The 12,416-nt window shown below is 40.0% G+C and overlaps 1 protein-coding gene across 1 annotated transcript in view; it reads right to left on the bottom strand.

Moving 5' to 3' along the window:
* TPH2 (tryptophan hydroxylase 2) overlaps positions 1–12,416 on the bottom strand; it is a 93,596-nt gene that overhangs the window by 35,636 nt on the left and 45,544 nt on the right. The window contains exon 8 of the mRNA NM_173353.4: positions 2,240–2,366. Within this exon, the coding sequence (NP_775489.2) occupies positions 2,240–2,366 (127 nt within the window). The remainder of the gene's footprint in view (positions 1–2,239; positions 2,367–12,416) is intronic.

The following is a 12,416-nucleotide window of genomic DNA, read 5'->3' as shown; positions in this document are numbered from 1 at the left end:
TCACTGTTTTAGAAAAAGGACTAACTGCACTCACAAGGAGGATCCACCTCCATTTACATCCATAAACTCCTGCCTTATTTCTTCTTCTCCTCTATTTAGATGCCCATGTTCACATGCACACATGCACACACACACACACATCAGCTCCACACAGCCTGGCCATTAAGTATCAGTTTATGGCTATTCAAGGTCAGACAAGTGAGCGATATATCTTGCTCCGTGATCAAGGGTATAGGCAGAAGGGAGTCAAAGACTGAAACCAGAAAATTTCAAGGCAAGTTTGAAATGCACAGAAAAGGTTCCAAAACAAGGCATTTAAAACCAGAACCAAGGTTTCAGAACTAAACAACTTATGATATGGTGGTTTTAAAATATATCCACAAATACTTTGACAATCCTTTTTCTAAATGGTGAAAACTAATTCCACTCCAGTTGAGCGTGGGCTGAAATGAGTCCCTTCTAATGAACGGAATATGGCCAATGTGAACAGCATCTGATCAAGCCACAAAAGACATCACAGCTTTCTCCTTGCTCTCACTCTCTGTCATCACTTGTGGAGGAAGCCAGTGGCTATGTCATAAGTAGCTTAAGGAGAGGCCCACACGGTGAGGAACCGAGGCCTCCTGCCAATAGCCACATGAGTGAGCCATTTTGGAAGCCAATTCCCAAACCTTCAGACAATTACAGGCCCAGCCAGCATCTTGACTACAACGTCCTGAGAGTCCCTGAGCCAGAACCACTCAGCTAAGCTGCTTTCAAATTTCCAGCCATAGAAATTATGATATAATAGATGTTTGTTGTTTTAAGCCACTAAGCTTTGAGATAATTTATTATATCGTGATGGATAGCCAATACAAATGAGACACAATCCTTATACCAGAAGTTACAAATTGGAAGCCAAGATCTAGATTCAGTCTACAAATATATTTTCTTCAGCTATAATGGTGGGACTTTTTTTAATAAGCCAACATTTAAAAATCATTAAATTTCATTGAGAAATCTAGATTGCCAGTCTCTCTAAAAAATTTAGGAGATCTCTAGCAACACAAAGTCCTGCATCCCATCTCTGGCAACAAGCAGTAAAAGCTGAGAACCTGCTATACAAGAGACATGCTGTCCTTGTCCACCACAGCCCCCACCAGAGCCTATTCATCTCCATACTGACCCCAGAGGTCCTTGCCATTTAGATGGCTTCTGCATTGCTATTTATCTTTTAGTTGAGAAATATCTCCCAGTTCCTATATTTTTATCAAAAGTAGGAAACAAAAGATGTACTGAAAGATCTGTGTGTTTTTAAGAAATCTAGGAGAAAACTTATTTCTGGGTGGAAATGAAGAATATTCCTGCATATCAAATATGCCACTGTGGTGTACCTGTGCTGAATACATACAATTTAAGATCGCATTTTTCATCCCTTGGTGGTTTTGCTCACTAGGCTAACTGACTGGTCCCTGTAGGTAATGGGTTGGCTAAAACTGCTTTTTCTCTTCCTGGGCCCTTAGAAATGGAGCTAGGGTACAGCATATGAGCATGCTAGATCTGGCCCTTCAGCATCTTAAAGGTAGCAGCCAACATTAAACCTTTTCTCTCATATTGCTTGTTTTCAGAAGAACTTCAGTTTTAGGAAGATACTATAACATCCATTAAATCTTTTCCTGGTTTTGTACTTAGAATAATTGTTGAGCCTCAGTGTCTTATTGCTTGTTGACTCAAATTATGTCTGACTACAACCACCTAGAATAATCAGAGAGAGTTTCAGGTGCAACCCCTACTTTATCATATATGTATACCTTTTACTATTACTAATATTTCTGTGAGAGTCAGCAAACCACAGCACACAGGCTAAATCTGCCCACCACCAGCTTTTATAAATAAAGTTTTATTGGGACACAGTCACACTCATTTATTTACTTATTTGTTGTCTGTGGCTGCTTTCATACCACAGTGGCTAAGCTGAGTAATTCTGACAGAGTCCTTACGACCCACAAACCTAATATGTTTACTATCTAGCCCTTTATCTCTAGCTGACCCCCGAACAAGAATGATAAAATACAAATGTTTTGGTGGTCAATAAGCTGATAACTCATTGTGCTTCAAAAGAATACAACATAGGAAAAGGTAAATTCACCATGTTTTCTCCAGAACATTTACCTATAACTCATAGTCAATAATCCTGAAGCTTTCTTTACCTTACAAATGGACATAAATAGCACTGGTTTTAAGTTGAAAATGAACTCACCGTGGCTAGTTTCTGAACATCTTCATCTGATGCTCCCAGAGACGCCAGACCTATTTCTTGTGAAAACTGAGCAAACTTAGGATCCGCAAGTAGTGGAACATGTCCCAAGAGTTCATGGCATGTGTCTCTGACAAAAAAGACATCACAAAGACGTGTTAAATAAGAAGCTTTAAATTACCACTGGTAGAACAAGACTTAAAAACCTAAATAAGACCTTGTCACTGTAATTAATTAGTTACTACAGTTCATCAATGCTGGGACTTCTTAATCATTTTAATATGTCTGAAATCCCACTGCATCTCATAATCAACAGCACTTAAAACATATGATATACCATGTTTTAATAACATAAAAGCAACTACTATTTTCAAGCTCTTACTATATACCAAGTACATGGTAAGTGTTTTATTGTATGCTTTATATCTTTTATTCTCAAAACAACCTTTAGAGAATTAAAGTAACTTGTTAGCACAGGATCCTGTAGATCAGGGATAGGCAAACAACAGCCATGGTCCAAATCTGGTCCATTGCCTGTTTTTGTAAATAAAGTTTTATTGGAATATAGCCATGCCCATTCATTTGTGTATTATCTGTGGCTGCTTTTGATCACACTGCAGAGTTGAGTAGTTGTGACTGAGATCATAGGGCTAAAATAATTAACTAGCTGGCCCTTTACAGAAAAAAATTGCTGTTTCTTGCTATAGATAGTGAGGAAGACAAAATTGGAATCCAATTTGTCATGTTTTTCAACTCTTGCTGTTAACCCTTAAGGTGCACTGCAACTCTGTTACACTCTGCCAGGCAATGGGTAATGGCAGAGGATTCTATTGTCATCATCATCAAAGTTGCTTTTCCAGTAGATGATTTATGGCTCTAATATAAGCAACTCTCTTGTGATAACACATTAGAAAATCTCCCAGTTCTCTGCTTTGGTTAGCCTGAACTAGGTAATAATAGAAGCCTGGAACCTCTCTCATTTGCCTGAGCTTTCATTTGGAGCCAGGAAAGTGAGCAAAAGACAGGTATCTTTCACGACAATACAAGGCAGATGCCTTCCTGAGTCATTGCCATGAATAATGAACTGTTCCGTGATACCAAGCTGTAATGGATTGAATTCCCCTATGGTTGTCTGGGAATGGATTGAGATGCAGGAACATTTTAAATTATTGACTGAAAAAAACACCAATTACCTAGGTAGTAATTAAAAGATAGTTTTGATTTCACTTGTACTCCTCTGAAATCTATCACTTCAAATAGCTGCTAGAATACAAATACCAGGTGCTACCATTATTACAATTAAAAAGTATGTTGGATGGTCACACAGTTGAAGCAAATGAATGATGGTCAAGGGCCAAGATTGATGCCCACATAAAACAGATAGCATCACTCAATCACTCAATCAAAAAATCTTATTCCCACAACTCAAACCGTATCCCCAATCTTGGCCAGTTACTTCATAGAGAGAAGGTTGAAAGGGCAGCCACTTGAGAATAGTGGACAGGATACTGAAACAAACTCCAAATTCATCCCTTGTCAACTGTGTCAATAACTTCTTTTTTGGTACATGAACTGAACTGAATTTGTTTTTTAAAACAAAAGGCATACGAGGTGGTTATTCTTCAATCACATTGCTTATGGCAAAGAAGCAGATTCACTGGATTTTAGGGTATAGGGGCATTTAAATGTAATCCAAGCCCTTCATTTTACATATGAAGAAATGAAAAATAAAGAAGAGAGAGAGAATATACTGAGCTCCTACTATGTACTAGGTACTGTGCTAAATGTTTTCATGTCACATTGGTAACTGAATCTTTCCTTACGTGTTTTATAAAGGAATAATAAATATAAATAAGAGAAGCTTTATTATTCCAATTTAACAAATGAGGAAGCTAAAATTTAGTAAATCTAAGAATCTTTTCCTAGGCTACCACACTTTTGGCAAAGACAGAGACTTTTTTTTTTTAATCAGGGTCTCCCTTTGTTGCTCGGGCTACAGTGCAGTAGTGCAATCACAGCTCATCGCAGCCTGGACCTCCTGGGCTCAAGCGATCCTCCCACCTCAGCCCCTCAAGTAGTTGGGACTACAGGCGCATGCCACCACACCTGGCTAATTTTTTGTAGAAATGTCAGGGGCGGGGGTGGGGGTGGGGGTGGGGGTTCCTCACAATGTTGCCCAAGCTAGTCTTGAACTTCTGACCTCAAGCGATCCGCCCACCTCGGCCTCCCAAAGTGCTGGGATTACAGGCATGAGCCACTGCACCCAGCCCAGAGACAAGGTTTGAAATCAAATTTTTTGAACTCCAAAGCTACACTCTTTCTGCTCTCTGTTGTTTCAATTTGCAGGTATGGTGTAAGCAAGAAAGGGGCTGGGGCGTACATAGCTTAGGCCGTAGGAAGAGAGTTTAGCCAAGCTAGCTAGCACAAGTAAAAATGTAGTCAGTATTTCCTAAGTCTCTTTTCCTCCAACCCAGTGCTTCTCAACTTTCCAAATCACTTGAGGAGCATTTTAAAAATACCGAATGGCTAAGCCCTGCCTTAGACTAATTCAATCAGGCTCCCTGAGGTAAACCTGAGCATTTTTTTTAAACTCTCACCAGGTGATAATAAGACACAGCCAGGGCTGAGATTCACTGTGATAACTGATGACTCTAGGAGCTCTCCTAGCAAGCTTCAAGCAACTAGTACTTAAAACTACAACTGAATGTGATTATGTAATTTAGAGCTGTTCAAGTTTAATTCCACTAAAATTACACCATGATACTGAAGAATAATTAAAGGTGGTGACTGAGAGGTAGATGGGTAACTAATTCATTCTCCATGTGCATTTGATTCAGTTACAAGTCCAGTAGTTCTAAGCCGGGAGTGGACCCTATGGACTCATTCTTGCGATCAATTTTTTTAAAAGGTCATGCCGCCTGCACCAATATTGGAATTAAGATCAAGTAACCTACCATGGAAAAATCTGAAAACCTCCATTGTGGCTCATGATGTAAATGCTAAAGATCTCCCACTGATCCAGGCAGAAGATGTGGCAACAATAATTTTAAATTAGTCACTATGTCAAACTCCAAGAAAATACTGAAGATGATGAGTATTCTCTCATTGACATAAACAAGGTGAGCGGAAACTAAAGTAACAATTACAGTGAATGCTTACTATGAGCCAGGCACTGTGCTAAATGCTTCATAATGTAAGAAGAGAATAGGGTAGGTCAAAGCTACAGTGGTGGTAGATGCTTGGTGCAGTACAGAATTTACCTTTGAACTTGTTAAATACTTGAAGAAAGCCAATCCAAAAGACAGTCTTCTGTCTACTTAGACACTAATGGAGTCCGAAAGCTTACTGGTAGAACGTAAGGTGAAAAGTTAGCAGTTAGGAAAATACTAGAGATCCAAAGACATTCAGGAGTCAGTTCTCCATGATAGAAAAAGGAGCTATCACCTGAGTGTTAAGACGTCATTATCAGAAACCTGTAACTCACTAGCCAACTTAAGAACCTTTAATACCATTGCAATGACAAAGTAATCTAACTACACATAGAAGAGGATAAAAGAAATTATAAATTTGGAAGAAAAAAATCATACAATACAGCAGAGTAAGTTATATTGTTTCATTAAGAATGAAAGCCTGAAGCGAGTTGTCTAGCAGAATTATTAATGGAACCTCAGAGATACTCTTTGCTCTGTTATAAGTAGAAATGACCATGCTGTATTTTGCTAACTTGTGCCCACTTCTCAGCTCCATTTCCACGCAGAGACCCTGAGAAAGAACTTCCCTTCAGATTCCTGAACAAAGTGTGGACATAGCATGTCATGGGGCCAAGGCTTTAAGCACCTGTATTTCAAGACCAGGAACAAGGTTATTATATTTTATGTCTTTGGTGAAACTTTCTCAGAAATAAACACCATATTGTTCTCTATCCCACTGTGTTTGGCTCAGGTACATGTAGACAAAGGAAATTGAAGTGCCTGGAAACTCTTCAAACAAAGAGCAAAGATTTTTAACATTACTAATAAAAGCAATTCATTAACTTTGAAAAGTTTACATTTTTTTAGATTCTCTGCAGAGGACTTAGAAGCTGAAGTCACCTCCACTCTTTGGGGCAGAGAGGGGTTCCAGGCTATGGGGAGTCTGAGGGAGAATGCAAACTGCAAAGCCTTCTCTCTAACCTCTGTGCCAATTAAGGTCTGTTGGGCTGAAATTATGCTATTAAACTCTATTTTACAAAGTGCAAATGCCACTGCGCTGTGTCCTGCATGTAAAGTAGTTTGAGATCCCTACTTTGGTTGTATCATCCACAGCCGAACCCCTGAGTATCTAATTATGAACAGGTTCCCGATGTGAGTTCACAACTATTGCCTTATCTCACCAGATCTCTCCAAAAAGATTCAATTATTTGGCCATAATTGCACCTGTCAGTACATGCTGCCTCCAATCTCTACATCAGCAAACTTTTTTCTTTTTAACTCCCATCCCTTTGATACATTTTTGCCTGAATAATGCTTTTTAGAGTCCTTTTCACAAATGTGCTCTGTTCACTGGAAATACAAGACCTTTCAAAGCTGTTAACACTGTAAAACATCATGTCTCCTTTTTATTTAAAAAAAAAAAAAAAACCAAGAGCTGATATCAGACACTAAACTTTTGCTGCTCTAAATTGGAATCTTCTCTGATAAGCCCTGCTAGGGGGATTCTAAAGCCTGCAGAAACAGGTCCACAAAGGAGCCTCGGTGAAATGTCTCTGGGAAATTCTTAACTCAGTCCAAGAAAGTAGCCATCATTTTGCTATGAAGAAATAAGGGTTCTGGTTGTTAAGTTCAAATTCAAAATGAGTCTGGCATTTTTCTCCTCTTATCAGTTTTCAAAGCTGACTCTTCACACTACGCGTTGAACAACTCCTTTTTATTTTTGTTGTAAATTAAAGCCTTTACGAGGAATTGACTGAGCATCCAACATTTGCTTCCCATCCAAAATCTGCACATCTGTCTTTTAAAACATATTTCTTTAGGTTTTGTTTGCTCTAAATGACACAGAAGCCAACACTTTAGCTAAATCACGAAGAGAAGGAAAGGGAGATGAGTGGCAGAGGTGAAGACTTTGCATTAATAAAAGGAAGCAGGAGGATGAGCTGGGAGCCAAAATAGGGTGCGTTTTTCAGCTTTCACACAACAGTTGATGGGTAAATGCAAGTAATGTGGGATAACACACTGGGATGCGTTGCAGACAGGTGACTTAGTTTGCTTTCACTGCATAAGATGATAAGGGGAATTAACTTGGTAGTGAGGCAACTTTTTCTCAGGGCTTGTTTTGGAGCCATATACAGAGTTTCTTTAGTTTAGATTTAAAATAGCATACTGTAAAATCTGACCCAGATAAGATTTTAGGCAATTCTTATGATCACTCCTTCTTATATCCCTATCACAGTATAGCTACAAAAAGTCACCTTTTTTTTTTTTTTTTTTTTTAATAAAGCCAGGAACCTGGATGTTGCATTGGGGAAAATCTTCTTTGCTTTTTCCCCTTAGGAATCATAAGGATGTGCACTGATGTTTCTCTTCTTTACTACAATTCTTTTAAGACTGGCAGATATTATAGTTGTCTTTCTTAAAATTTAGTTCATTGTGTGCCTATTTGTACCAGGTGCTATATTAGGAAATGTGGCTTAAAAGTAAATAAGGCATAATCTTAGAATAACTCCTAGCAAAAGTCACCATCTGGTTCCAGAAAAAGGCAATCAAATAGCAAGTACAAACTTTCCTGATGCATAAAAAGAAACAATTTCCAGTTCTTAGAGGGACCACAGAAAGAGTGCAATGGAAATTCTGTTGGTATATCACTAGCTCCCTACTGATATAGCTTAGATATTTGTACCCAGCCAAAATCTCACGTTAAAATGTAAACCCCAATGTTGAAGGTGGGGCCTGGTGGGAGGTGACTGGATCACGGGGGTGGATTTCTCTTTAATGATTTAGCACCATCCTCTTGGTGCTGTCCTCGGGATAGTGAGTGAGTTCTCCCGAGATCTGGTCGTTTAAAAGTGTGTGGCCCACACCCTCCAACTCTCTCTCTCATTCCTCCCTTCGCCATGTGAAGTGTTCTCTTTTTGTCTTCCATCATGATTGGAAGCTTCCTGAGGTCCCCCAGAAACAGATGCCACTATGCTTCCTGTGCAGCCTGCAGAACCGCGAGCCAATTAAACCCCTTTTCTTTACAAATTTCCCAGTCTCGGGTATTTTTTATAGCAATGCAAGTATGACCTAATACACCCACCATTTCTGAAGTGTTTCTTATTTCTTGAAGAAATAAGAGACATTTAACTTTCTCTCCACCTCTCCAAGTTCAGTGTAATTAAGAAAGCAATATAACACAACAGTCCAAAGCATATACCCTACAGTCAGACCTAAGTTCATCTCTCATATTCTTGTGTAGGCAAATTACTTAGAGCAGCACTGTGCAATCGGACTGTCTGCAATGATAAAAATGTTCTGTATCTGCACCATGCAATATAATAGCCACTTGACACAGGTGTCTACTGAACACTTGAAATGTGGCTAGTGCTACTGAAGAACCAAATGTGTACTTTTATTTAATTTTAATTAATAAATGTAGATAACCACATCTCACCATATTGGACAGCACAGACATAGTGTTTTCTCATCTATAAAGTGGAGATTGTAAGATTTCTTCTCTCTTATATTATTTTTTCTTTTATTGAGATGGAGTTTCACTCTTATCACCCAGGCTGGAGTGCAGTAGCCTGATCTCGGCTCACTGCAAGCTCCGCCTCCCGGGTTCAAGCGATTCTCCTGCCTCAGCCCGCCGAGTAGCTGGGATTACAGGCACCCGCCACCACCCCTGGCTAATTTTTTTGTATTTTTAGTAGAGACGGGTTTTTATCATGTTGGGCCAGGCTGGTCTCAAACTCGTGACCTCAGGTGATCTGCCCGTCTCAGCCTCCCAAAGTGCTAGGATTACAGGCGTGAGCCACCGCACCCAGCCATCTCTTACATTATTAAACAATGTAGTAAGAGAATGCATTGAAAATCTTAGTTCCCGTAAGTTAGGTATTATTACTTATTATATTAAATTGTATTTATACCTAAGCCTATCATACTTGAATAAGTTTTGCCCTTTGAGAAGGTACTTTATCACTTAAAAAGGAGTAAGTTTCTTCAGGACAGAGATTAGGCCATGTTCGTATTTCGGTCTGCAGTGCTTAAAAAAGCCTGGCACATAAGATATGCTCAATAACTGCTTTTTTAACTCAACTGAATAGAGCAGGTGATGATGGGGCTCTGTTGTTCCAAATAGAAGTGAATCCAAGTGAAACTCAAGTATGGTTTTCCTAATTTCCAGTGTCACATAAAGGCTTTGGACCAGAACTTGGTTTTGCTATTTTCTAGTTGTGTAACCTTAGGGAAATTACCTGACTTCTTTGAACCTTGGAATTGCCATCTGTAAAATGGTGACAATCCTGTCCACCTAATAGAGATGAGTGGGATGATGCCAGACAAACAGAACGTGTGTGGGAAATGTCTGCTCCCTCTTTCCTTCTCTCTTGTGGTGGCTTCTGTGCCCACCCACAGACACAATTCTCTACACGGTAGTAAAGAGGTATGAACAGTGATTACCTCTTTCTTGCATAAAATTCAATCATTTTGGATTTCTTCTTCTGAACTTGCAATTTAAAAATGCAAATACTCCTGGAAAAATTTCTCCCTGGTCATCTCAGTCTTCCACACCTGAAAATACATAATGAACCTCTCCCTGACTACAGAGTGCTGAAGGAATATAAATTTTGATTTGGGCCAGGTGCTTCTAAGTGCTAATTTTGGATTATGGGCTCCGCACAAGGAAAACAGAACTGGGTGCAGGGGTAGGGGAGAGTGACATAAGGAATCCTGCTTTGAATCTGCTAAAAAAAAAAAAAAAAAAGAAGGGTGGCTGAAGTATTGAAGCTTTATCCCAAGTCACTACAGAAAACAGTCTAAAAGAACAAAAACAGGGCTCCAGCAGACAGTTAGACACAATTTTGGTTTCTAACTGCACATTTTAAATAATGTATATGATTTTTTAAAAATGGAATGTATATTGTTAGAATGCTTAAGCTCTTTAGACAAAAGGCTCTATAAGAAATCTCAGGGGTTATTTTTGCTTTAGGCACTTCACAAAACTAGACACAATATTATGATTGAAAACTTGGGAGTCCAGGTCTAGGAACGTGGCCTTGTAACTAAGGACGCACTGGAATTTTATGAGGCACATTATCCCTCCACATGAATTTAAGAGGTGCCGAGTAAGGGTGGACTTATTTGGTATTTTTCTAAAGCTTTTTTCTCTCCAAAGATCAAAGTGTTATTTCATCATCTCTCACACAGGGAGGTTAAATGGCTTGCCGACAGTCATACTGGGAGCTGAGAGAGGGGCCTACATTTCTGGGCAATCAGTCCTTAGGTCCTTCTGCCTGAGGACACAGCAGTCTCCTACCTGCATTACTGCCCTTTGAGAAGGTACTTTGTCACTTAAGAAGGAGTAAGTTTCTCCAGGACAGAGGTTAGGCCATGTTCATATTTGGGTCTGCAGTGCTTAGAAAAGCCTAGCATATAAGCTATGCTCAATACTGTAGAGAGGTGCTGTCCCCTTCTTTCTCCCAGTGAGATAGCAGATGCCTCCTCCTCTTGATAAATGGGGCAGACCAACTGTGACCTTGTGAAGATCAAAGGGGAGGGCAGGCCTCTAAGGAGCCTGGAAGTTGGGCCGAGAACTGGATGGGGCAGCACAGCACTAAACTATATAATAGCCATAAACAGTCTTTAGGGTTCTAGCAAATCAGGGTCACCAAATAAAAGTAAGGAAGTATCCCTTTCAAGGCCAGGTACAGTGGCTCACACCTGTAATCCCAGCACTTTGGGAGGCCGAGGTGGCTGGATCACGAGGTCAGGAGTTCGAGACCAGCCTGACCAACATGATAAAACCTTGTCTATACTAAAAATACAAAAATTAGCCAGACATAGTGGCGGGCCCCTGTAATCCCAGCTACTCAGGAGGCTGAGGCAGGAGAATCGCTTGAACCCAGGAGGCGGAGGTTACAGTGAGCTGACATCGCACCACTGCCCTCCAGCCCGGGCAACAGAGTGGGACTCCGTCTCAAAAAATAAAAAAAGAAAGTAGCCTTTTCAAATCCCTTCTACAAAATATGCCATTGGAAAACAACAACAACAACAACAACAAAAATGCTATTCAGCTTCAGCATACAAATAAGTTTTGAGTATTTTTGTTTAGTGTTACTGATTAACAAAGTAGTGGCTAAGGCCACAGGTGCTGGCATTACTCCTGAAGTTCAAACCCTGACTCACGTACTTACCAGCTGTGTTACCTTGGGCAATGTACTTAACCTTTCTGTGTCTTATTTCCTCATCTATTAACTCAGAATAATAATATAACAACTCAAAGTGTTGTAGTATTAGGTGAGTCCATCCATACATTACACTTAAAATAGTGTCTGGTGCTATTAACAGTAAACCTGTGTCCAGTTGATATATAGTAGACATGTTTGCTATTCATAATAAACGTATTGTTGCTACTGCTGTTGTGGTTGCTGTCAAGATTATCTATGCTGAAGGATGGAAGGAATTAAAGTATTTTCAGGTCTTGGGGCCTCTAACATCTTAACTGGCCCTCGGTATAGCCCAAACCGGACTTCTCCTAAGGGAGAGCATGGCTACCAAACTGAGGGTATGTGCACCAGTTACAAAGCAGGAAAGGTAGGCCAGATGACCGGCTTTCTGGGAACATGCCATTTTCCAAGAATCACCAGTAATAATGCTGCACTGCAATCCTGAGCAGCAAGAATGGTAATAGTGCTATGGAGGAAGCCAGGTGGATGAGCAGGAGGCTTGGCACCAAGCTCACATGTCCCATGGGAAAGAACAAGTTTAAGCTAAACACAGCTCGTGGGCATGCAGGTTAAACTCCGTAAAGCTCTGGTTTATCCTCCCAGCTCTGCAGGAAGACCATGCTGAGAAGACTTCAGCAAGGCCTGATATTAAAAACACCAACAACAGCCAGGGCCCAAGTCCCAGAACCTCTCGAGTGGGAACAAGGAGGAAAAGTTGGGAAAGAAAAAATTCATATTTTTCCTCTCATTATGGACCTAGTGAGAGACATCTGTTCAATC

The sequence above is a fragment of the Homo sapiens genome, chromosome 12 (genome assembly GCF_000001405.40).
Source record: "Homo sapiens chromosome 12, GRCh38.p14 Primary Assembly".
NCBI classification, from domain to species: Eukaryota; Metazoa; Chordata; class Mammalia; order Primates; family Hominidae; genus Homo; species Homo sapiens.
Note: the sequence above shows the minus strand (reverse complement) of the source record. Positions and strands in the feature narration are given on the sequence as shown.